Genomic DNA, 26,989 nt, shown 5'->3' on the forward strand with positions numbered 1-26,989 from the left:
ACAAGAGTAAAACTCTGTCTCAAAAAAATAATAAAAATAAAAATAAAATAAAATAGGCAGTTCAGATTACTCAGAGGGAAGGTCAATTTGAATTGATGAAAAATCTGAGTTTAAGTTTTATGTGTGTGTGTGTGTGTGTGTGTAATTAATGGATCTCAGTGCACAGAATTGGATTCTTCATTATCGCTGGTTCGTAACACTTAACCATTGGCCTACTTGCCCCTTCCTTCCTTCCTTCCTGCCTGCCTTCCTGCCTTCCTGCCTTCCTGTCTGCCTCCCTTCCTTCCTTTCTTCCTTCCCTACCCTCCCTCCCATGTAATAAGTGCCCATGAATCCATATTCAACAGGAAAACTGGAACCTTGACAGTAATTCGCATCTAGCCACATGGTCCTCCCCATCCTACCCTCCTGTTAGGGGCATTCTGCAATCTTTAATACTATTTTAAAGGAAATTTAGTTACAGTATAGTAGTTCTAGGTGCCTGAGGGGCTGATTTGTGACTCATAAAGCCTTGCTGGAGGGTCTGAGGATCTGCTTTAATGGATAGCTCTTGATGGCCCCTGGTTAGCAAATTAATTATTGAAATGTACATAAGAATCTCTCAAGTGTTCAGAAACCATTTTTCTTCTGTGGAGTGGATTCCCATGTCAGTTTTGTTTATCCTCTTAATTTGCCCAGCCAGCTTCTTTCCCTCCTGGTCTATGGCAAGTTCCTTGAAGAATCATCCTCAATTCTAGGTCTGGGGGCCTTGGATGAGGGAAGGGGTTTGCTGGGTTTAACCACAGGCCTGCCCACTGCTGGACTTTCTCAGAAGAATCACAGCCTCAGGCAACATCCACTGAGTGCCTGCTTGTCACCTGCGCTGTTCTAAGCATTGTGCCTTCATTGGCTCTTGCTCAACTCTGTGAAGGAGGTGCTGTGATTGAGCCCATTTTACAGATGAGGACCCTGAGGTCCAGAGAGGATGACCTGATTACTCAAAGCCAGCAGCAATTAGGGATAGAACTGGCACGTCTGCTACCAGCATGCAGGCTTGTAGCCATTAAGTGGCCCAGCTGCTTGTTCCAGTTCTTAAATGCATGGCCCCAGCAGGGATGAGGCTCTGGGGGCCGTCCTTCAGCCTGACCCAGATTCTTGGGTGTGGTGGGTAGATTCTACCCCATAGAGGAAAGCAAGCTGGACGCTTATCAGGCCAGTCCATTCCTCTGCCTGCTGCCCTCTGACCAGCAGCAGGCCACCTAGTGTGGGAAAGATCCTTGAGATTCCAGCGTAAAAAACAGTGAGAGGCCGGGCCTGATGGCTCATGCCTGTAATCCCACATTTTGGAAGGCCGAGGAGGGCAAATTACCCAAGGTCAGGAGTTCGATACCAGCCTACCCAACATGGTGAAACCCGTCTTTACTAAAAATACAAAAATTAGCCAGGCATGGGGGCACACGCCTGTAGTTCCAGCTACTCAGGAGGCTGAGGCAGGAGAATCACTTAAAGCTGAGAGGTGGAGGTTGCAGTGAGCCAGATGGAGCTACTGCACTCCAGCCTGGATGACAGAACAAGACTCCATCTCAAACAAAACAAAAACAAAACAAAACACCGATGATGATCTCTTGTTGATACCCTGAAATCTGTCTTCCTCTAGAAGTCTAAGGCAAAATAGTTCAGCAATTTGAGTTTCATTCAGAACTTTTGAGATTCCCCTGCTCTCTGCATTAGGAAAATCTTCAACCTGCTTTGTAATCCAGCAGAGCAATGTCCAGCCAAGGCAGGAAGAGCCCCCCAGCAAGCTCGGTGTCCCCTGGGGATCAGGCTGCGAAGGGAACAGGGTCCCACGCTGGCTACTGAGAAGGCCCAGGGCAGAGATGAGTTGGGGCACGAGGGAGGCCACGTTTAATCAGATGGGGGTGAAATTGAGGCCAGGGCAGCGCTTGCTAAGCTCCAGTTAGGAGATGAATCAAAGGGAAAATGATGCCCCAAGGGGCTTCGACCACTGACTACTGCCCTTTCAAAGGCTGCTTGGATGGGCGTCTGTTCCCTCCCCATGAAGAGTCAATAGTTATCGATCCAGTGGGGAACTGGGTCCCAGCCAACCACAGATGATGGACTTGACACTCCCCGCTCCTCCCCAGAACACAAGGGTCAGCTGCCTCCTGCCTCATCCTGCAGCAGCTACTCCTCCTAGACACCGGCTTGGCCACCACCCCATGGCCACCTGTGAAATCTGAAGTGCCAGTCTCAGGCCTAGACGCCGTCTCCCAACCTTCCAGCTTTCTTGCTTCTTCCTCCTGCTGGACCTCAGCCTCAGCCTCCCGGAGACCACCATTGCCGCCTCTCCATTTTCTCCCAATCCCGTCCTTTCTGACATCACTCCCTTGTCCACCCTCTTCCCTCATACTTCTAAGTCAGTGGTTCTCAGCAGTTTTGCTCCCAGGGAGACATTTGGCAATGTCTGTAGGTTTTGGCTCACATACTTGGGGGCAGGGTGCTACGGGCATTGAGTGGGTAGAGGCCGGGGGTGCTCCTGAGCATCCAGCAGTGCTGGGACAGCCCCATCACATGGAATCACTCAGCCCCAGATGTTAGTAGTGCCGAGGATGGAAGCCTAGGTCTCAGCTGCTGGAGATGGGGCCCGCTTGCATTGTTGCACCAGCATCATGAGTTAAGAGGCCTGGAGAACCTTTGCGTCCCAGATTTCTGCTCCCACTTTGTCCCACAGTTACTATTGCAAACTTCCCTCCTTCTCCTAGTCCTCCTGCCCTCCGGCCCTTGCCTTCACTCCCTGTCCCTCCTACTTCACAGAGTCACTGCAGGCTGAGTGGAGGTGGTGTGGGTGGGTTTGGGGGGTAAAGAGGGCCTCACTCAATGCCCCCCTCTGCCACCTACAAACTTCTCATCTGTACAGCCAACCTTCCCTCTCACTCTTACTGAATAAGCTATTTCTCTCTCTCTTTTTTTTTTTTTTTTTTTTCTGAGACGGTGTCTCGCCCTGTCACCCAGGCTGGAGTGCAGTGGCACAGTCTCAGCTCACTGCAACCTCCGCCTCCCGGGTTCAAGTGATTCTCCTGCTTCAGCCTCCCAGTAGCTAGGACTACAGGCGCATGCCACCATACCCAGCTAATTTTTGTATTTGTAGTAGAGATGGGTTTTTGCCATGTTGACCAGGCTGGTCTTGAACTCCTGGCCTCAAGTCATCTGCCCACCTTAGCCTCCCAAAGTGCTGAGATTACAGGCATGAGCTACCACACCCGGCTGGATTCCTTGCAAACTCTTACAAGATCCTCTCATGATGGCATCACTTCTTCCAGTAGGACCCCACCCTTAAGAATCACACCCTTAAGAATCAACACCCTTAAGAATCACAGCTGCACCACCAAAACCAAACCAAACCTCCCTGTAGATTTCTTGGGCCCTGCCTGTAGAGACGCTTCTTCAAAATATGACGTCAGTGGGATCAGGTCTAGGAAGCCACCTGTTCACCAAGCCCCTCAGCTGCCTCCGATGAAGATTGAAGTACAGTTTGCAAAAAGCTGACACGTATTTTGTGTCTTCAGCCTTTAAGTGTTGATTTTGCCCTCTACCACTAATATTTAACATCGGGTAGCCATATGATTCATGATCTACTTCAGGGAGAGAAGTGGGGGCGGTGATGGTAATGACACTGGACCAGCAGTAGGACCGAGATTGCTCAGGGCCAACTGGGAGGTATCGATACCTAATTTTTAAATGTCTTAAATTCCTTACATTCTCAACACGCCCCCTTCTCATCAAAGAAGCTGACAATTAGTACTGACAACAGTAACAAAACATTCCTTCCCCACGTCACAGCCTCCAAGTCCAGGAGGGCATGCTTTGTTTACAAGGTAGCTGGTGCTGCCTGAATGTGTTCATGAAGGCACCCCTGCTCCGCCCAGTCCTCTACCCTTCACGGCCAATTTTCCTGAAAGAATTGTCTGCATTCACTACTTTCAGCCATTGCAATGAGGCTTCTGTCCCCATCATGCAGTAACCTGGCTGTGGTGAATGTCCCCAGACACTTCCTGACTGCTAAGTGTAGGGATACTTGCCCCTTCTCACTCTCACTCCACCTGACCTTATAGGATGGAATCTGCTGCCCACCGCCCTTCTAGATGGCTCTGCTCATCCAATTTCCATGACATGCTCTATTTTTTCCTTTTCCCACACCTCTGGTTACATCTTCTCTGTCTTCTTGGACTTCTTTCCCTCTGTCCTGCCTTTACATTTTTTTTTTTTTTTTTTGAGACGGGGTCTCTGTCACCCAGGCTGGAGTGCAGTGGCACAATCTCGGCTCACTGCAGCCTCTGCTTCCTGTGTTCAAGCAATTCGCCTACCTCAGCCTCCCCAGTAGCTGGGATTACAGGCATGTGCCACCATGCCTGGCGTGAGCCACTGCACCTGGCCTGCCTTTAAATTTTTCATTCGAATGAATGAACACATGAGGTCCTGGGGGATAAGGACAGATGGAGGGAGTGGGCAGGTCTCCCAGAGGGTCTGGCCTCTCCAGCAACTTTCTTCCCCCTGCCTGGTGCATCAGGAACCAGGCAGCCCAGAGAGCACTGTGCCTCTCTCCCCCTCTGCTTCCAGAGAGTTCTCTATTCTGACACTTTATAGGTTAAGAAATAACAGCGAAGCTGGGGGTGGTGGCCCATCCTGTAATCCTAGCACTTTGGGAGGTAAAGGCGGGGGATCACTTGAGGTCAGGAATTTAAAACCAGTCTGGCTAGCATAGCGAACCCCTGTCTCTACCAAAAAAAAACAGAATACAAAAATTAGCCAGGCGTGGAGTCACGCGCCTGTAATCCCAGCCTCTCGGGAGGCTGAGGCAAGAAAATCGCTTCAAACCAAGAGGCAGAGGTTGCAGTGAGCCAAGATCGCACACCTGCACTCCAGCCTGGGCGACAGAGCCAGACTCTGTCTCAAAAAAAAAAAAGAAAAGAAAAAAGAAAAAGAAAAAGAGCAGTGACAGGATTCCAGGGTTTGGAACTCTGGGTGGCAGTCAGACATTGTCTGCATTTTGGGGGATTGGAAAGATGAGGTCCCTGCCTGGAGCAGCTCTTGCCCAGGCCTGGTAGCAGAGAGGCAGAGTGCTGTGAAGCAAGGAACGTGGACCTGCAGTCAGGTTCGGACTGCAGCTTCTCCCAGGACTCAAGTGAATGGGATAGGCTCTGAGCTCCGGCCTTTTCCTTCTCCCAGGACTCAAGTGAATGGGACAGGCTCTGAGCTCCAGCCTTTTCCTTCTCCGAGGACTCAAGTGAATGGGACAGGCTCTGAGCTCCAGCCTTTTCCTTCTGTAAGGTGGGGATAGGAGGGCAGAGCGGACAGGCTGTGAGGATTAAATAAGATGGCACGGAAGAAGGTGTCTCACATGCAGCTGGGGCCTGATGGGCAGCCGCTAGTATCGCCCAGCCTCTGAGAGGGGAAGCTGGGCAGCTCCTGAGAGTGAGGAAAACATGCAGAAGAGCCTGGAAGGAATTTCAACCCAGAAAAGAAGCTGTGGCCCTCTGGGGGTCTTCATATAGTGTGAAAATATGAAGAATGAGAGAATGAATGAAGCAAGACCAGAGGCACCGCAGCAGTGCCCCCATCAGCATGGCACCCGCGGGGCCCTTTCTGGCACTCTGTGCACTTGTGTTGGCTTAGTGTCTGTTGTTCCTATGAAAGTATGAGCGTCTTGAGATCGTGAGCTGTGCCTGTCGTGTTCCCATTATCTGGCCAGCACTTGGCACATAGTAGGTGCAAAAAATACACATTGACAGTTCCTAGAAAAGGCATGCTGAGGAGGCCAAAATAATAGTTATGGAAATGAGGCGGGGTGTGGTGGCTCACGCCTGTAATCCCAGCACTTTGGGAGGCCAAGGCAGGCGGATCACCTGAAGTCAGGAGTTCGAGACCAGCCTGGCCAACAGGGTGAAACCCCCATCTCTACTAAAAATACAAAAATTAGTCAGTCGTGGTGGCGGGAGCCTGTAATTCCAGCTTCTCAGGAGGTTGAGGCAGGAGAATCACTTGAACCCAGGAAGCAGAGGTTGCAGTGAGCCGAGATCACGCCATTGCATTCTAGGCTGGGTGACACAGTGAGACTCCGTCTCAAAAACAAAAAACAAAACAAAACAAAAACATGGAAATGAGAAAGCTGGAGGACTAAAATTACTAGATCCTCCTGAGTTGGGACTCAGGCTCTAAATTAATAGCGGGCTTCCTGTACCAACCCTGATAGTTAATAACGGGCTTCCCGCACCAACCCTGATAGAGTTAATAGCGGGTTTCCCTCACCAACCCTGATAGAGGCCAGCATCTTCTTTGCTTCCCTCTCAGCCCTGAGGGTCTTCATCCAGGGCCTGGAGGTGGGGCCCAGACACTGCAGGATGCAGGATGCTTTGCACCCTTCTGAATCAAGGAGGGGAGCGGAAGAGGAAACCAAGGCTTGGGGAGCAAACCGCCGCCTGCTCTGGTGTCCTTCAGGGTTGTCCAGCCATGAGACGGGTGCAGGGAGGCAGTTGGGAAAACTGTGGCCTGCCCTCTCCTGGGAGGGGCTGGGAGCTTTCCATTTACTTTCCTTGGGGCAAATGCCTCTTATCCATCAAGGCACAGATCTGAAACAGGTGACACAGAGTACTTGGTCACTACATCATCGCTGCTGTAATTACTGTTTATGTCAAGTGTATCTCCTGAGATCTCTGGAGCCCTCTGCAGCCTGGGGAAGGTTTGGGCTGAAGACCCCTGGGATCTGGGAGCTGTGTTGCTCAGCAGGGTTTTTCACAGTGCCCTAGGGTCTTCCTGTGAAAAGCAAAACCTAAAGCAGCCATCAGGAAAGCAGGAGGGGATTAAAAGTTAGGATGTGGTCAGCTCTATTCTGCCTGCCTCGTGGAAGGGTGCCTGAGGAGCAAGGTGCGCCCCTGTTGGCTCATCACATGCCCCTGCAGCTGATGGCCTGCCAGGCTGATGGTCTTTCCTGGGGACTCCACTGGTGGTTGGGAAGAAGGTGTGTGGCAGTGCCCAGGGAGATGATCACAGAGATGTAGAAGGGCCTGGAGGAGATTCTCAACCAGGGGACTGGGGCTTATAGGAGAGTGTCTCCGAGGACTCAGGGACATTCCACAGGAAACAGAAGAGACCCAGGAGTCTCTGTCTTCACACACTGCATTTTGGGAGTTGGTGAACTTCTGGAGAGTAGGAGCTTTATGTTATCTTTTATCTTTGTGTCTGTAGCTCCCAGCTTCTGGTCTATGGGAAAGTGAGTTCCTTGACTCCAGCCATAGTCAATGGCAGCCCCTCAGGAGGGGCTAATTAATTAATTAATCAATTTTTGAGACAGAGTCTTGCTCTGTCTCCCGGGCTAGAGTGCAGTAGCCCGATCTCGGCTCACTGCAACTTCTGCCTCTTAAGTTCAAGTGATTCTCGTGCTTCAGCCTCCCGAGTAGCTGGGACTACAGGCCGGCGCCACCATGCCCGGATAATTTTTGTATTTTTTGTAGAGACGGGCTTTCACCATGTTGGCCAGGCTGGTCTTGAACTCCTGACCTCACGTGATCCACCCACCTCAGCCTCCCAAAGTTCTGGGATTACAGGCATGAGCCACCACGCCCAGCCAGGAGGGCTTAATTTGTATTAATCATTAATGAGACCAGGGACAGTGGAGGCCTCTCCCAATCATAAGGTTGCACAGACACATTTTGTGGCATTGCTATTTGGCCATGGGTTGCAAGATGCAAGTGGGCTCTGTGGGTGTGATAAGAGGGAGAGACAGACCCTCCCTGCCACCCAAGAGTCGTCTTTCCATTGGCAGGCTGTCCTATGACCTCCCTATCCTTTGCTCCTCTGCAAGATCTTTCCCTTTTTCCTTTCACCTGCTCCAGGCATAAGCATGAGCCTCCTCTCTACCTCCATAGGGGGAGGCTCAGGGAGTGAGGCAGCCTGTCAAGGACAGGGACAGATCAACACCACCCAGGCCACCCTCAGACCCAATCCTGGCTGGAATGTGACCCACAGCTGGGTTTCCCTGAACACACACCTTAATCTCCCAGGTGTGAGCTCAGCTGTCTTTCTTGTCCATGTTGAGAGAAGAACAAGTCCTCTCCCTTCATCCTGGGAGCTGGGATACGGGAGGGGAACACCCTTGCCCGCCTTCTCCTCCACCAGCATGGCCGGGGTGGAGGGGCTTGGTTTACAGGAAACATTCTGTTATCCCACACAGTGATCTTGCCATACTGGTAATTCACCTGGACTTTGTGGGTGGGTGGGGAGGCTCAGTGGGTAGAAATAGCTGGGGGATGCTCAGGGTTGGGGTTAGAATGCTCCCTCAAGCTTTCCAGTGGAGACATGTCTCTTGGGGGACAGGCAGGCTGGGTAGAAGCTGGCTACTCGGGGTCTAGGAAGGGAAATGAGAGAGGGAGGGTTTGGGAGCCACCTTCCAGACATGCCTTCTGGTACCAAGCCTGGACCAGTGGCAAAACCCAAAGGGCAGCCAATCTGGCTGGTACCTTTGCCACAGGATTCCTTCTTGAATCAGCCAAATAACCTGTTGCCTCTGGTTCCGATCTTAGTGAAGGTAGGGGTCCCAGGGAAGCTCCAAGCCAGGTCACTGTACTTAGTCTCTGGGCCAAAGCTGTACTGCCAAGACTGTTACATTGTAGCCATTGGCTGGGTGCAGTGGCTCACACCTGTAATCCCAACAGTTTGGGAGGCCGAGGCGGGTGGATCACCTAAGGTCAGGAGATTGAGACCAGACTGGTCAATATGGTGAAATCCTATGTCTCTATTAAAAATACAAAAATTAGCTGTGCATGACGGCGGGTGCCTGTAATCCCAGCTACTTCGGAGGCTGAGGCAGGAGAATCGCTTGAACCCAGGAGGTGGAGGTTGCAGTAAGCCGAGATTGGGCCATTGCACTCCAGCCTAGGCGACGGAGCGAGACTCCATCTCAAAAAAAAAAAAAAACTTGTAGCCTTTGTGTATTATTGTTATGCAGGAAGGTTGGCCAAACATTTTGGCTGACTAGTTTCCATCTTGTGTCACCCTCAAACTAGAAATTTGCAAAGCACTAGGGTGCCTAATCTGAAGATTTTTTGTTTGTTTTTGAGATAAGGTGTTGCTCTACCACCCATGCTGGAACGTAGGGGTGCGATCATAGCTCACTACAGCCTTAAACTCCTGGGCTCAAGCAATCCTCCCTCCTCAGCTCCTGAGTAGCTGGGACTACAGGCATACACCATCATGCCAGGCTAATTTTTTTTTTTTTTAACAGATGGGGTCTCCCTATGTTGCCCAGGCTGGTCTCAAACTCCTGGCTTCAAGCGATGATCCTCCCCGCTCAGCCTCTCAAAGTGCTGGGATTTACAGGTGTGAGCCACCACACCTGGTCCGCTGAAGTTTATTGATCAAAATAAAGTTTCTTTGAGGCCTCCGAAGGTTTTGGAGGTAATGCCAGAAACTTGCTCCCGGCTGCGCCGAGGGGAGACCAGCTGACCTTCTCCACCGTTGTTTTATCGCACCAAAGCCTTAGCATAGAGCCCTTCCCAGCCACCCTACCTGCGGGGCTGGACCCGCCCACCACACCCACAGCACCTTGCTGGGGCTGACTTCCCGATTTGTGTCCACAGGCTGCTGAACAGGATGTCCTCGGACGACAGGCACCTGGGCTCCAGCTGCGGCTCCTTCATCAAGACTGAGCCGTCCAGCCCGTCCTCGGGCATCGATGCCCTCAGCCACCACAGCCCCAGTGGCTCGTCCGACGCCAGCGGCGGCTTTGGCCTGGCCCTGGGCACCCACGCCAACGGTCTGGACTCGCCACCCATGTTTGCAGGCGCCGGGCTGGGAGGCACCCCATGCCGCAAGAGCTACGAGGACTGTGCCAGCGGCATCATGGAGGACTCGGCCATCAAGTGCGAGTACATGCTCAACGCCATCCCCAAGCGCCTGTGCCTCGTGTGCGGGGACATTGCCTCTGGCTACCACTACGGCGTGGCCTCCTGCGAGGCTTGCAAGGCCTTCTTCAAGAGGACTATCCAAGGTGCGTGGTGGGCCTCAAGGAGCCTGGGCGCAGGGTTGGGGGTGGCAGCCGTGCCTGCGGGTCTGGCAGAAGCCCTAGGAATTCCCAGAGACTGCCAATTCTGGGCGCTGTTGGAGCGGTACTTCTGTGGGGCGCCTTTTCCCTTGCTCAGGGCTTCTCATTCTGGCACTGGACAGCTGCAAGACTGTTGTTGAGATGACACGCGTTCCCCACCCCCTCAGCTCCCCCATGCACAGCCCCAGAAAACCAAAAGAAAATCCACAGGAATGCCAAACCCTGGGTGCTTCTCACTGGTATGGAGTACACTGTCAAATGTGTGTCCCTCAAAAAGTTTATTTTGTGCGGGGGAAAAATATAATTTGCCCTGCAATTCCAGACTTACGGGACATAGAAAGCGTCCCTCACCTTGTTTTTGTCTTACTTATACAAGTAAAACGCCAGATGTGGTGACTCATGCCTGTAATCCCAGCACTTTGGGAGGCCAAGGCCAGAGGATAGGTCAAGCCAGGAGTTGAGACCAGCCTGGACAACACAGTAAGACCCCATCATTATTATTATTATTTTTAAATTAATGCATGGTGGCACACACCTCTAGTCCCAGCTACTTGGGATGCTGAGGCTGCAGTGACCTGTGATGGCACCACTGCCTTCCAGCCTGGAAGACAGAGCAAGACCCTGTCTCAAAATAATAATAATAATATATGAGTATTTTCTCACTGTAGAAGACTCAGACCTGTTGGAATCAGGACAGGAGCTCATCCTGTCTGGATCCCAGTTTAACCTATTTTTAAGACCGACCTTCCTTCATTCCTTCCTTCCTTCCTTTCTTCCTCCCTTCCTCTCTCTCTCTCTCAACCCATCCTGTCTGGATCCCAGTTTGACCTATCTTTTAAGACCTGTATTTTCTTTCCTTCCTTCCTTCCTTCCTTCCTTTCTCTCTCTCACTCTCTTTCTTTTTCTTTCTCTCTCTCTTTCTCTCTCTCTCTCTCTTTCGATGAGAGTCTCGGGCCAGGCACACTGGCTTAAGTCTGTAATCCCAGCACTTTGGGAGGCCAAGGTGGGCCTTGAGGTCAGGAGTTCAAGACTAGCCTGGCCAACATGGTGAAACCCCCGTCTCTACTAAAAATACCAAACAAACAAACAAAAAATCAGCCGGGTGTAGTGTCAAATGCCTGTAATCTCAGCTACTAGGGAGGCTGAGACAGGAGAATCGCTTGAACCCGGGAGGTGGAGGTTGCAGTGAGCCAAGATTGGGCCGCTGCACTCAGGCCTGGGCGACAGAGTGAGACTCCATCTCAAAAAGAGAGAGAGATAAGGGTCTTGCTATGTTGCCCAGGCTGGAGTGCAGTGGCTATTCATAGGCACAATTATTGCACACTGCAGCCTTGAACTCCTGGGCTCAAGCCATCCTACCATCTCAGCTTCTCAAGTAGCTAGAACGACAGTCGCTGCCACCACACCCATAAGCTTTTTATCAATACATTTGCATATCACCTGAGTCACATTCCAATGGCCATGGTGGTGGCACCCTCTTTCTGTGGGTACTAGAGTCAATCACTCTGACAAAAGGCGTGCAAGAACCCTGGTGGGTCGCTCTGTAAAGTCACCACGAGGTGAATTGGGGAGAATAAATTGGGGAGAATGGTGGGCCTGCCCCCACAGGGCTGTTATCAAATTCATGGCAGAGAGAGACCACTGGGACCACTGGTGCACATCACCACACCCAGTTAATTTTATTTTTAATAGAGATGGAGTCTCACCATGTAGCCCAGGCTGGTCTCGAACACCTGGGCTCAAATGATCCACTTGGGCCCACTTTGGCCTCCCAAAGTGCTGGGATTACAGGCCTGAGCCACCGTGCCTCGCCGATAGCTGTGACTGTTAATTGCGTCAGGCCCTGGGTAGAGCACTTTCATTCAGTTAGTCAAGTATCTGTTGAGCACCTACAAAGCACCAAGCCAGGCTGTAGGTGCTGGTGATAGGATAGACAAAATCTCTACTCATGCAGGTCACTGCGATGAGCTGGTGCCATCCAACTGGCACAGAAACTGCAGACCAGACAGGAGAACACCCAGGAACCACCCATCCTGCCCCTGCATCAGATCCCTTTCCAGGGCCCTGCCTCACTGTCCCCAGAATGTACCTACCCCATTCATTTCCCTTTTAGAAGAGGCAGGCTAAGCTTCCCCGGGATGATTCTGTTTATTCAACAAATATTTATGTGTTTAAGTTTCTTCAGATGGCAATCTATTTATGAAACCAATTGAAGACATTAAGATTGGATATATTTCCACTTCCACATATGAGTTGAGATGGTGTGGTGCATTGGCTAACCATCAGGGCTCCTGGTCAGAGAGTTCCATCGTCCCCTTATAGCTGCACCTTGGACATGCTCCCTGTTTCTCTCTGTGCTTCAGTTACTTCATCTAAAAAGTGAGATATCAGCTGGGCGTGGTGGCTCACGCCTGTAATCCCAGCATTTCAGGAAGCCGAGGAGGGTGGATTGCCTGAGCTCAGGAGTTGGAGACCAGCCTGGCCAACATGGTGAAACCCTGTCTCTACTAAAAATACAAGAATTATCCAGGCATGGTGGCAGGTGCCTGTAATCCCAGCTGCTTGGGAGGCTGAGGCAGGAGAATCCCTTAAACCCAGGAGGCAGAGGGTGCAGTGAGCCGAGATGGCACCACTGCATTCCAGCCTGGGCAACAGAGCAAGATCCCGTCTCAAAAAAAAATAATAAAACTTTAAAAAATAAAAATAAAAAGTGAGATATTGTTCCTACCTTATAGAGCTGTTAAGAAGCTTACGTGAGTTAATATATATAAAGCACTTAGAATATTGCCTAGCACCTAGTAAGTGCCAAACAAATGTTTGTAATTATTATTTTAACTTTAACAATGTGATTTAAGACATATTATTATGAAAACAACGGACACATTTATCTTATAGAATAAGCTTTTGTAATCTACATATATTTAAATAAAACAATAATTGTTTTGATCTAACAGGACTCAGATTATTTTAGCTATTTTAGTTATAAATTTCTTTTTTCTTTTCTTTTTTTTCTTTTTTTTTTTTTTTTGAGACAGAGTCTCACTCTGTCACCCAGGCTGGAGTGCAGTGGCATGATCTTGGCTCACCGCAACCTCCACCTCCTGGGTTCAAGTGATTCTCCTGCCTCAGCCTCCCAAGTAGCTGGGATTACAGGTGCTGGCCACAACACCTGGCTAATTTTTTGTATTTTTAGTAGAGATGTGGTTTCACCATGTTGGCTAGGCTGGTCTCAAACTCCTGACCTCAAGTGATCCACCCGCCTCAGCCTCCCAAAGTGCTGGGATTACAGGCATGAGCCACCGCGCCCGGTCATAAAGTGATTTATTTCTTAAATGAGCCCTTTTAAAAAAATAAACATGATAAAAAAAATTCTAGCAGTGCAAAACAGTAGAGCACGTTTTCCTGAAACCCCAGACCTCAGTTTTCTTAACTATCCCAGAAGGACCCCTTTACCATCTTTGTCAAGCAAATATTTTTTGAGCATCGTCTTTATCAGGCACTGTGCTGGCCTCCAGGACATAAAAATGAATGCACCCTGGTCTCTGCCCGCTTTATACACCCTGAGTCTGAGTCTGGGGGAAGGCCCTGGGATCTCTGTATTTGAAAAGCACTGCATGGTGATGCTGTCTCTTGCCTCAGCCAAGAATGAGAACCTCCAGTATGATGGTTTTTACACAAATCATCAGATATTTGACAAACACAAAATGTTTAAGTCAACTGAAGTTACCAAGATAACAACATTTTTCTTTCTAAATTGGAAGGTTGTCTTGGAGAGGTTGCCATTATTTTAGACTCTTTGAGGTCAGTTTTTGAAGAATTGCTTGTTAGAAGACAGTCACATTTTCTTCTCACCATGTTGTTCTTAGATGGGCTGGAGAGTTTTGAATCACATTTTTTGAAAGCAGAGGTTAATGTGTGTAAACTCAGAAATCCTACTGCATGCTTGACAGAGGCCCAGGTGTCTGCGAATGTTCTCAGCAAGTCAGGAGTCCACATGAAAGATTCGTAAATAGTCTTAATTATTTGCTACCGCGAATAGGATAATGATCTCTTCGTAGAAGTCAAAAGACAAACAGCAGCATTTGTGCAGTTGGAACTGAACTGCTGCAGCCTCTTCTCTTTCCACAAGGAGAGTTTCAAGTTCGTAACCAGAAAGAGGTTTATATTCAGGACAGGGAAAAGTAAACTCAAGGCTGACAGATTGCTGTGGTTATTTTATTAACTCTTTGGTTTTGTTCTAACAAAGATTTAGGTTTTGTTGTTGTTTTTTTTTTTGAGACAGAGTCTCGCTCTGTTGCCCAGGCTGGAGTGCAGTGATCTCACTGCAACCTCCACCTCCCAGCTCAGCTTCCCAAGAAGCTGGGATTACAAGCCTGTGCCACCACACCCGACTAATTTTTGTATTTTTAGTAGAGACGGGGTTTCGTCATGTTGGCCAGGCTGGTCTCGAATTCCTGACCTCAAGTGATCCTCCCACCTTGGCCTCCCAAAGTGCTGGGATTATAGGCGTGAGCCACCATACCCAGCCAGATTTTGTTGTTTCTAAACGTAGCAACTGTAGAACATCTGGAAAACTAGGAAAAGTACAGACAGGAGAAAAATGACCTAGAATTGGACAACCACAGAGACAAACTCAGAACTCAGTGAGCATTCTTTGAGTCCCTCTCTGAGTAAGGTGCAGAGGGGGAGCAGGAGAGAAAGGGACGTGGTTCTTTCCCTAAGAAGCTGGAATCTGTTGTGGGTTTTTTTTTGTTTTGTTTTTGTAGAGATGAGGCCTTGCTATGTTGCCCAGGCTGGTCCCAAACTCCTGGCCTCAAGCAATTCTCTTGCCTCAGCCTCTCAGAGTGCTTAGGATTAGAGGGAGGAGCCACTGCGCCTGGCCCAGGTAGCTGCAATCTACTGCTTAGTGCCCATGAGTCTACAGGCGTAGCACTGTGCTCCAAACCAGGACATAGTCTCCTAAGCACCTAATATTCAGGTCATTTTTTTTAAGTTCTATTGTGTGGACAGAGGGCTTAAGTCATGGAATGAGCCATTCACGAGTGCCTGTAAATGCTTGGAAAGCTCTGAAAATTGGGCCAGGTGTGGTGGCTCCTGCCTGTAATGGTAGCACTTTGGGAGGCTGAGGCAGGAGGATCCCTTGAAGCCAGGAGTTCCAGCCCAGCCCAGCTTGTGTAACAAAGCGAGACCCTCATCTCTACAATAAATTTTTTAAAAATTAGCTGGGTATGGTGGCTCGTGCCTGTAATCCCTGCTTCTTGGGAGGCTGAAGTGGGAGGATTGCTTGAGCCCAGGAGTTTGGAGGCTGCAGTGAGCTATGATCCTGCCACTATACTCCAGCCTGGGCAACAGAGCTGGAGTTTCTTTAAAAAAAAAAAAAAGCGGCCGGGTGCGATGGCTCACACCTGTAATCCCAGCACTTTGGGAGGCCAAGGCAGGTGGATTACCTAAGATCAGGTGTTCAGGACCAGCCTGGCCAACAGGATCAAACCCCGTCTCTACTAAAAAATACAAAAATTAGCTGGGTGTGGTGGCGCATGCCTGTAATCCCAGCTACTCGAGAGGCTGAGACAGGAGAATTGCTTGAACCCGGGAGGCAGAGGTTGCAGTGAGATCTTGCCATTGCACTCCAGCCTGGGCAACAAAAGCAAAACTCCGTCTCAAAAAAAAAAAAAAAAAAAGAAAGAAAGAAAGAAAGAAAAGAAAAGCTCTGAAAATCATGTTAATCGTGTTACCTCACACCCTGCCTCTTCCTTAGATCACTTCCTTCTGCGCAATCCAATGGTTGTACTAATATGGGAAGAAATTTTGCAGAAACAAAGATGTCATGATAGATTTAGGGAGAAAGACTAAGACCGAGTCATTCCTTCTCCACCAATCTTTTTTTTTTTTTTTTTTGAGACAGAGTCTCGCTCTGTCACCCAGGCTGGAGTTCAGTGGAGCGATCCTGGCTCACTTCAACCTCGGCCTCCCAGGCTTAAGCAATTCTCCTGCCACAGCCTCCCAAGATAGCTGGGATTACAGGCGTGTACCACCACACCCGGCTAATTTTTGTATTTTCAGTAGAGACAGGGTTTCACCATGTTGGCCAGGCTGGTCTCCAACTCTTGATCTCAAGTGATCCACCCACCTCAGCCTCCCAAAGTGTTGGAATTACAGGCGTGAGCCACTGCGTCCAATCCACCAATCTTTATTGAGCCCTCACTATGTGCTTGGCTGGTAGTACAATGGCGGGGGAGGGAAGAGGGGGAAGATGGGCAAACTACGGCCTGTAAGCCAGCCACCCTTGGTTGTATAAATCAAGTTTTGTTGGAATACAGCCACACCTATTTGTTTGTATATTGTCTATGGCTGCTTGAGCGTTACAACAGCAGAGCTGAGTAGTTGCAATAGTGACGGCCTGATCCACAAAACCTGAAACACTCCTCTGCACTACATTGAACTAGGCAGATTCAGTCTCCTGGCTCTCAGAGACCTATAATCAACTCCTAGTAGTGCATGTTAGTGTTTATTCCAACCCTGCCCAATTCTATGCTATGAAAGGGAGGTTTTTTTCTGTTGTTCGTTTTTTTTTTTTGTTTTGTTTTTGTTTTTGTCGCTGGGGGCTGTGATGACACTCACTGAGAATAGATGAGCTCATAGACAGATGAAGGCACCTTCCTGAAGGAACAGAATGGCTCCAAGTCAGAAGAGATAGACCTCAACCTGATTGCATTTACTCGCATATCTAAAGAAAAAAAAATGCCAATTAACAAGGATTGGCTAGCCCTGGAGGCATAGAAAAAACAGACATACTTAGGCAAAGCCACCACTCCTAGGAAAAGGGAGTCTTAGCCTAGGGACAGCCTGATGTGATTAAACATTCCGTTTATCTGATTAATATCTTTCTGGTTAGGATCTAGTTCCCCTGCAGGTCTTCTGCAAGGAGTGAATTTGCAGGTCAGGCAGACAGATCAATTTCTCCTTGTATGTGTGCTCTCTTTGCATGGCATCCCTGAGCTTATACATCAGGTTCCTGAATTTAGGCAAGAGGAGTGCCTCTGAGAGATGGAGCCACTTTCTGTGGCTGGAAAAGTCAGCTGCTTCTGGGACTTAGGGCTGAGTGACACTGACTCCACCGTAATGAAAACCTTTGTAATAACCTTGACCCTGTCACCCTGTGTCTCTCTCAGCAATGACTCTGCCTCCTGTTTTATTGAGAAACTAGAACTCCCTCAGCTTCCTGCCGCCAAACCGATGCACTCTCTTCCATGTTCGCAGCTGCTTCCGTTCACTGATTCCGCAGCTATTTCTTGCAACTCACTCACTGCTGGAAGAGATGTCTCCTACCCCAGGCTCAGCTCTTCTCTGGCTTTGAATCCTACCTCCTTCCCTCCTCCTGAGACCCTCTCGGCTATTACCTCCTCTCCTTTGTCTTCCCTTGCTCATTTTCTAAAGTCTCCTTCCTTCCTTCCTTCCTTCCTTCCTTCCTTCCTTCCTTCCTTCCTTCCTTCCTTCTTTCCATTAACATTCAACTATCTCTAGTATCTCCAATCTTGTAAAATATATATCTCCTCTACCTTCAGCTTCCTGGTTCTTCCTCTCTTCCTCCTCTCAGTTCTTGACCCAGCTTCTGCGCCCAGCATCTTCCTTCTCATATCCATGGCTTCAGTTGTCTCTGAAATCAGGATGAATGCTAATTCCATAGGTCTTGCTGTCATCCTCTTCCCCAAGCTCCATTCCTTTCACACCTAATGAACATTTCCACTTGGATGCCCCAGAAGCACCCCAGTTGCACGAAGTCTTAAACAGAAGCGGTTTTCCTTCCATCACCATTTCTCCTTGTGTTCCCAATACAGTGCCTGCATCAGCCCTCCATGTTCAAGCCAGACACCTGGGTCTTACCTTTAACTCTGCTTCCTGTCCCAGCGCCCACCCCCCTACCACCCCGAACTAACATCCCAGTGGCCAAGTCTTGTTCATTCTCCCTCCTTCAGATCACTTGACCCAGCAGCTTGTCTTCCTTCCCCTGCTTCAGCTCAGGCCACCGCTGACTCCCACCGCTTCCTACCTGTTCTCCCTGCTGCCAGGCTCGGCCGTTCCCAGCCTGAACACACATCTGACCATGTCTCCCTTCTTTCTTGTGGGGAGAATCAAAGCTCCAGAACATGGCCAAGGACGCCCTCTGGGATTGCCCCACGTCTCATGCCACTCTCTTTTGCATGCTGTGGTCACCCTGATTGCTCTGTTTTCTAGTTACCAGATTTTATTCCATGCTTTCAATTTCTAGACTTTGCATATACTCTTCTCTCTGTTGCACCTACTCCCAACCTCTACTCCCAGCTTGTGTCCCTTAGGTCTCCAGTTAGTAGGCATTTCCTCCAGGAAGGCTTCTCTGATTCTCTCCTCTCATTCCTCCTGGATGCCCTGCAAAGGTTCGCCCATCACGCCACCCTTCTCCCACTGTATGGTTATTGCCATTTTTTTTGTCTGATACCCCAAGAAGAGTACAAGCTCCTAAGGCACAGGGTTACATTTACTTACCTTTTTTTTTTTTTTTTTGAGACCGAGTCTCCCTCTTGTTGCCCAGGCTGGAGTGCAGTGACGCAATCTCGGCTCACTGCAACCTCCGCCTCCCAGGTCCAAGTGATTCTTCTGCCTCAACCTCCCAAATAGCTGGGATTACAGGCACGCACCACCATGCCTGGCTAATTTTGTATTTTTTTTTTTTTAGTAGAGACGGGGTTTCACCATGTTGGCCAGACTGCTCTCGAACTCCTGGTCTCAAATGATCTGCCAGCCTCGTCCTCCCAAAGTGCTGGGATTACAGACGTGAGCCACCGCGCCCAGCCCACATTTACTTCGATTTTCACTTAACCCCATGTCCTCTCACAGTACCTGGCATGTAGAAGGTTCTCAGTGTGTCCAAATGCAATGCAATCCCCAAACAAAGTGATCTCCCATTTCCCAGGGAGGACAAACTGAAGAAGTTGGGCCAGTTTGCATATGTGTAAACTTTAAGGGATCTAGGTAAAATAGTCAGATGTCTGCTTATAACAATATATTATTTAGTTACGCTTGTATATTTTAAATTACCTTATGGAAAACAATATATTATTTTTGAAAAGTTGTTTTTCTACACATATTTTGTGAAGGAAGTCTTATCAAATGAATCTTTGATACAAATGTCTTTGTTTTCCTTCTCTAGAGTTTTTTGAGTCATTTAACAGTGTTTCAGTGTGCTGCCTTCATTTCCATCAGTTAATTGAAATTTTATGAGAATGTATGCGCTGCTATCCCTAAAGTTTTTTTATTTTAAGCCATAAGTATACGTCCTACACCATAAGGGGAGTTCTTTTTTTATTTGTGTTGACTTATGATCAGGATATCCACAATGTATCAGGTACATACTGCTTTTGACACCCAACACTTGTAAGATTATTTTCCTGGGAATAACTAAATTTGTGTTAAATTTCTTTACTCCCAGGCCAGGCATGGTGGCTCATGCCTGTAATTCCAGCACTTTGGGAGGCCGAGGCGGGTGGATCACTTGAGGCCAGGAGTTGAAGACCAGCTGGCCAACATGGCGAAACCCCATCTCTACTAAAAACACAAAACTTAGCTTGGCATGGTGGCACATGCCTGTAATCCCAGCTACTTGGGAGGCTGAGGTACAAGAATTGTTTGAACCCGGGAGGCGGAAGTTGCAGTGAGCCAAGATCACACACTGCACTCCAGCCTGGGTGACGGAGCAAGACTCAGTCTCAAAAAAAAAAAGAAAAAAAAGTTTGTTTTTATTTACTCCCTTTGTAGTGATTCACTCAGGCAAGGAGCATTGATTGCGGTCTTCTTAGGACCATGTGTCTTCCCAAATTTTAGATTGTTGTTCAGTACAAAGTGATTGACTTAATAGCACCTCTGATGTGAGAACTTGTAAAGACTCAAATCATAAGCAATTTTCTCTCTTTTTTTCTTTCCTTTTTTTTTTTTTTTTTGGTCCTTGGGACAGGGTCTTGCTCTGTTGCCCAGGCTCAGTGCAGAGACATGATCATGGCTTACTGTAGCCTCAAACTCCTGGGCTTCTGCCTCAGCCTTCTGAGGAGCTGGAATTACAGGCATGCACCACCATGCCCGGCTAATTTATTTTTTAAAAAAATTGTAAAGCGGAGTCTCTCTATGTTGCCTACACTGGTCTTGAATTCCTGGGCTCAAGCATTCCTATGGCCCCCACCCTAGTGGGCTTGCATTGTAGGGGGAAAGCTGACAATAAATATGATAAATAATGAAGCATGGTGACAGACTGAGACAGGTGTTATGAAGGAGAAAAAACAATGATGAGACCAGAGAGTGACTGAGAAAGGGGGGGGGTCTCATTTAGAAGGAGGATTAGGGAAGGTTGTGCTAATAAGGTGACTTTTAAAGGAAGCTGAAGCTCATCAAGGAATCCTGGGACCAGCGTTCCAGGCAGAGGAAAAAGCCAGTGTGTTTCAGGACAGCAGGAGGGCCAACATGGCTAGTGTCAGTGAGCAAAGGCAAAGTGGAAGGGGCTGGAGAGGATGGGCAAAGTCTAGGGGCCATGGTGAGGGGTGCACTTGGATTTTTTTCCAGGTAGAGTAGCAGCCGTTGACTAACATGTGATACATGGCCATGAGGGGCTGTACGGTTAGGTAAAGCCAGTCTGCACTCCTCCTTGAGTTCCCAGGGTAGATGGCCAACTTTGCACAGGCCACTGGGAGTCTTTTGAGCAATTCCTGGGTCTCTAACTTAAAACAAGAAGGAACAAGTAAGAAAGAGGCCTGGCACAGTGCTTCCTCCATTCACCTGGGGCCCAGATGCAGGCTTGGAAGAAAACTCCCCTAGGAGAGGGGAAGGGGGATGATTGATGGGTTATTCCACCTTGGGTCGCCTCCAGGTCTTTTGTCCTGGAGAATGCAGCTGGCGGATCTGGATCCTGGATCCCGGGAGGCACAAGACAGGGGTGCAGAGACAAGAGCAGGAGAGGGCAGGAGTCAGGAGCTAGGTGCTGGTCCCGGCCCAGTCACTAGCCAACTGGCTGACCTTGGGCAAGCAAGGACTGAGTTCCTCTGGCCTCAGTTTCCTCATCTCTACAAGAAGAGTCCATTAAACCCACAAAATGTTAGCTATCTGTAGGGCACTGGCAAATGACAGAACAAATCACAATTCCTCTTTTTGGAGACACAGCCAGGATGCCAGTCAGAATGTGGTCAGCCTGTGACTTAGGTGACACATAGAGTCCAGAGAAGGTTTATACCTTCTGGAGGGCAGGGAGGGCTTCCTGGAAGAAGGGACACTTTCTCAGAAGTGGAAGGTAAACATGCTTGGCAGCAAGAGAGGAGGGGGCTCAGTGGTGGATGATGGGCTGGGAAAACAGCATGGCACTGGAGTGCACCAGGCTTCACAGGTCATGGTAAGGAACAGTTAAGTAAGGAGTCATATTTAAGATTTGAGGGCTATTTAACCAGGCTTAGAATCTCAGCTTCACGATTTCTTAGTTGTATCACCTTGGGCAAGTGACTTAGTTTTCCTGAGCCTTAATGTCCGTATCAGTAAAATGTTAATAGTTCCTGCCCCTACAGTGTTATTGCAAAAATGAAATGAGACATGCATGTGAGGGTGTAACTAAGTGCCTGGCACATGAAATAAATAGTATTTGTTTTGTTAGTTGTGCTTGGCAATGGGAAGTCATTGAAGGCTTCTGAGCAGGGAATTAATCAGATCTCCTTTCAGCAAGATAATTCAGGCAACAATAGGAACGATGATGTGGAAGCAGGAGAGGCTAGGGGCTGGGAGCCCAGTGAGGAAGCAATTTTATTTTATTTTTATTTTATTTATTTATTTTTGAGACAGAGTCTTGCTATGTTGCCCAGGCTGGAGTGCAGTGGTGCAATCTCGGTTCACTGCAGATTCTCCTGGGTTCAAGCGATTCTTCTGCCTCAGCCTGCCCAGCAGCTGGGATTACAGGTGTGGGCCACCATGCCCAGCTAATTTTTTTTTTTTTTTTTTTTTTTAGTAAAGACAGGGTTTCACTGTGTTGGCCAGGCTGATCTTGAACTCCTGACCTCGTGACCCTCCTGCCTTGGCCTCCTAAAGTGCCAAAGTGCAGGGATTACAGGCGTCTGCCACTGCGCCCAGCAGGAAGCAATTTTTTTTTTTCCCCCAAGATGGAGTCTCACTCTGTCACCCAGGCTGGAGTGCAATGTCATGGTCTTGGGTCACTGCAACCTCCGCCTGGGTTCAAGTGATTCTCCTGCCTCAGCCTCCCGAGTAGCTGGGACTACAGGTGCATGCCACCACACCTGGCTAATTTTTGTATTTTAAGTAGAAAGGGGGTTTCACTCTGTTGGCCAGGCTGGTCTTAAATTCCTGACCTCATGAGCCACCTGCCTTGGCCTCCCGAAGTGCTGGGATTACAGGTGTGAGCCATTACATCCGGCCACAGGAAGCAATTTTAACAGTGCAGTTAGGGCCGTCCAAACCAAGATCAGGGCAAAAGGGCTAGAAGGAGAAGTTAGGCTTGAGGAACTTTCAAAAGTGGATTCAGGCTGGGCACAGTAGCTCACACTTGTAATCCCAGCACTATGGGAGGCAGAGGCGGGTAGATTACTTGAGGTCAGGAGTTTGAGACCAGCCTGACCAACATGATGAAACCCCGTCTATACTAAAAATACAAAAATTAGCCAGGCGTGGTGGCTATAATCCCAGCTACTTGGGAGGCTGAGGCTGGAGAATCGCTGGAACCTGGGAGGCAGAGGTTGTAGTGAGCCGAGATCAGGCCATTGCACTCCAGCCTGGGCAACAGAGTGAGACTCTGTCTCCAAAAAAAAAAACAAAACAAAAACAAAACAAAACAAAAAAAAAGGTGGATTCATTATTAAAAGGATAGTGACTGGATTGTGGATGCTAAGGGAAGGAGGACTCTTAGATTTCTAATTTAGGCTACTAGGGAGATGGCAAGGCCATTAGGGGGAAAACATAAATACCCAGAAGGAACAATTTCGTCAGCTGGGAGAGTCAGGGTGGGAAGGAGCATGAGATAATGGATAAAGTTTTGGACATATTGAGTTTGATCAGTTCACAGAGACCCTGGAGAGTTTGGAATTACAGCCCAGAAGCAAAATCTTGAGTGGGGTTTTAAGTCTAAGGAGAGCCTCTAAGACTGTGGTTCTCAAAGTGTGGCCCTCAGGCCAGCAGCAAAGGCTACACCTGGGAGCTTGTTAGAAATGCAAATTTTGGGCCCCACCCCAGACCTACTGAATCTGAGACTGGGGGGCAAGGCCCAGCAATCTGATTTAGCCTTTCAGGTGAGCTTCATTCAAGCTCAAATTTGAGAACTGGTGTTCGAGAGAAAGCTCTTTAGAAGGAGAAGGGTTGAGGGACCCTGCGGAACAGAAGGAGCATAGGAGGGGCCTTGAAAGGAGATTGAGGAGTGCCATATTTCATCAGTTCTAAGATGCACATTTTCTCCAAGTAACATCTCTGAATTGGGCTGCCTGTCACAGTTACCATTGACCAGGTGACAGCCGTTCCCTGGTTGTCACTGCACTCAAACGCACCTCAAAAGTTGCAGAGTAGGGGCCAGTGGCCTGAGACAACAGTGAACACTTTCTTAACAAAGCCCTTGATAGTAGAGAGGATGACTCTGTGAAAAAAACATGAAAACAATGACTGATCAAAAATGATTCAGAAGAGTTTGAGATGTTTTAGCAATATTTTAACCAATCTGTTTTTCTCGTATTTTCTCTTATGTATGTGTAAGAAGGCTACGGGATCAAATCAAATCTGAAAAAAAGCTCTTTTTTTTTTTTTTTTTTGAGACTGGGTCTCGCTCTGTCACCCAGGCTGAAGTGCAGTGGCACAATCTCTGCTCACTGCCGCCTCAGCCTCCCTTCAACCTCCCTGGGCTCAAGTGATCCTCCCACCTTGAGCCTCCAAAGTAGCTGGTACCACAGGGGCATGCCACCACACTCGGCTAATTTTTTGTATTTTTGGTAGAGATGGGGTTTCACCATGTTGTCCAGGCTGGTCTTGAACACCTGGGCTCAAGTGATCCACTGGCCGTGGCCTCCCAAAGTGCCTGGATTACAGGTGTGAGCCTAATCGGTGGATTCTTTTTTCTTTCTTGACTGATGGGTAAAATAATGGTACATCTTACCACTGAAAGCATCTTAGTTCATTACAAACCAGGCGACTAAAAAAACAAAAGAAAGCAAGTACTCCAGAGTTGATTAAATACACATAGAAATAGTCAGAGATGTTGCAAGAGTCCCTGCAGAGAGAAGGGAGATGAAATCTAACAAAATAGCCTGTTTTAAGAGGGTGGCAATGGGTGTCTGCTGCTTCAGGAAGGACCAGGAGGAGAAAGACCAAGAGGAGACAATTGCATTTGGTAGCTGAAAGGTCACTGTTGTGGAATTCTAGGATTCTCTGGGTGGGGGCTCTTGCTTTCAATTCGTTTGCATTCATTATCTATTCAACAGATATTAATCGATTTCCAGGATTGAGATACTGTACTTGAGATACAGAAATGAAAAACATAATAATCTCCATTCCCAAAAAGCACACAGTTCAGAAGGGAGGCCCACAGGTACACCTGTGATTATGAAACACTAAGGTAGCTGCTTTGAGTGTGGGGATGGGGTGGTGGCGAGAAACATGCGAGCCTATCTGGGGCAGAAGGGAAGAAAGTGTCACCAAGGAGGCCATGTGAGAGCTGTGGCTCCAAGGATGTGGAGGAGCTGGCCAGGAGGACCAAATGAGGAGTTTCAGGTAGAGGGAGGTATGGGAGGGCCGGGGGCTCCATGAGATCCATGAACTATTATACTTACTGACAGTTCAGATCTGCTGGAGCCTACAAACTGGAGGCCTCAGTGAGAGGGGATTAGGGTGGACAATTTGGAAATGGTCAGATCATAAAAGGCCTGGTAGGCTTTGCCCTGGAGTTTAGATTTTGTTCTCTGCTCTGGGTGGCAAGAGTTGGAGAATTTCTTAAATTTATACTTTAAATTTATTTCTAATTCTTTTCAAAATAAGGTATACAAATAGTTTAAAGAGTATAAAAGAAACATAACTTTTAGGCCAGGCACAGTGGCTCATGCCTATAATCCCAGCAATTTGGGAGGCCAAGGCAGGCAGATCACCAGGAGTTCAAGACCAGCCTGGCCAACATGGTGAGGAGTTTGAGACCAGCCTGGCCAACACGGTGAGGAGTTTGAGACCAGCCTGGCCAACATGGTGAAACCCCGTCTCTACTAAAAATACAAAAATTAGCCAGGTGTGGTGGCGGGTGCCTGTAATCCCAGCTACTTGGGAGGCTGAGGCAGGAGAATTGCTTGAACCTGGGAGGCGGAGGCTGCAGTGAGCCAAGATTATGCCACTGTCCTCCAGCCTGGGCGACAGAGCAAGACTTTGTCTCAAAAAAAATATATATATATGTTTTATAATGAAGGATCACAGTCACTGGCCCTACCCATTCTCCTCCCACTCTAATTCAGAGTTAACCATTTAAAAAAAACTCTCTTCTATCATTTAGTAATATTGTGATCTTATAGCTATATTTGCTGACAGCAAGTTTTACCTTCTTTCTTGACTTGCTGTTATGGAAGATGAGTTAGCTCCAATTACACAACCCATCCCAACACACACACACGATCATCCCGCTGTCCCAATATGGTAATATCACAAAATTTTCTATTTTGCCTGTTGCCATTTCCTTCTTGACATGTCCTTGACTTTTCTCATGGGTTGTATTCCCTGTTTTCTGGATCCTACCTCTTCCTCTTTTTAGTTCTTTCCTTCTTTGGGAAAGCATGTAGTTCATGGGCGTCCTTAAAAGGTATAGGAGAGGTAAAATCGGCAATACCTTGTATATGTGGAAATGCCTCTATTCCATCCTCCAACCTTCACATTAGATTCATGTCTTGGCTTGGTACAGAATTCTAGTTGAAAATAATTATTCTCAGCTGGGTGCAGTGGTTCATGCCTGGAATCCCAGCACTTTGGGAAGCTGAGGCGGGTGGATCACCTGAAGTCAGGAGTTCGAGACCAGCCTGACCAACCTGGAGAACTCCTGTCTCTACTAAAAATACAAAAATTAGCTGGGCTTGGTGGTGCACGCCTGTAATCCCAGCTACTCAGGAGGCTGAGTAGGAGAATCGCTTGAACCCGTGAGGCGGAGGTTGCAGTGAGCCAAGATCACACCACTGCACTCCAGCCTGGGCAACAAGAGCGAAACTCGCACACACACACACACACACACACACACACACACACACACAAAAGAAAGAAAAGAAAAGAATTGTCCATCAGGATTTGGACACCATTGCTGCTTTGTCTTGTAGCTCCTGCTGCTGCTATATCTTGAGTCTTCAATGCCTGACACTTTCTGAGGTTCTGCAGTGTGGCTAGCTTATTTCTTATCTGGATCCCTTGCTTTAGCTACCTAGGTTTCTACTTTCCTCATTCTCTGAGACAGTTCCCACTCCCATCCTGCCAGTTATTGGATTTTTGGGATGACGCATAGACAGGTGTGCTCCATGTGCCATGATGGGCCAGAGAACCCATAAACTTGTCTGGGAAAGTTATTAACTGACCTCCAGGGGGCAGTGTGGAGGATAGATTGGAAAGGGAAATGGAGACAGGCTAGTGCAGGACCATGGTCGCAAGGGGTGATGAGTGTGGAACTAGGACTGTTGCAGAAGGGAGGGAGGGAGCAGGTATCAGGAAGTAGGATGAAAAGGATCTTAGGGGTAGATATGGAAAAATCCAGGAGGCCCCTTCATTTCTGACAGGTTGCAGGTGGCTAGTCGTCCCTTTGATGAGACAAGGGATACAGTAAGAGGAACAGGCTGGATGAGGATGGGTTCAGTTTGAGAAAGGTGAGGGCCCAGGGGACCTCCAGGTAGACACATCAGCAGG

The 26,989-nt window shown here is 48.5% G+C and overlaps 1 protein-coding gene across 9 annotated transcripts in view; it reads left to right on the forward strand.

The window, feature by feature from the left end:
- Positions 1–26,989, forward strand: part of ESRRB (estrogen related receptor beta) — a 191,061-nt gene that overhangs the window by 118,953 nt on the left and 45,119 nt on the right. For all 9 annotated transcript variants that reach the window (XM_047431079.1, NM_001411038.1, NM_004452.4 and 6 more), the window contains one exon: positions 9,612–10,021. In XM_047431079.1, the coding sequence (XP_047287035.1) occupies positions 9,625–10,021 (397 nt within the window). In that variant the 5' untranslated portion in view covers positions 9,612–9,624. The remainder of the gene's footprint in view (positions 1–9,611; positions 10,022–26,989) is intronic.

The sequence above is a fragment of the Homo sapiens genome, chromosome 14 (assembly GCF_000001405.40).
Source record: "Homo sapiens chromosome 14, GRCh38.p14 Primary Assembly".
In the NCBI taxonomy this organism is placed as follows: domain Eukaryota; kingdom Metazoa; phylum Chordata; class Mammalia; order Primates; family Hominidae; genus Homo; species Homo sapiens.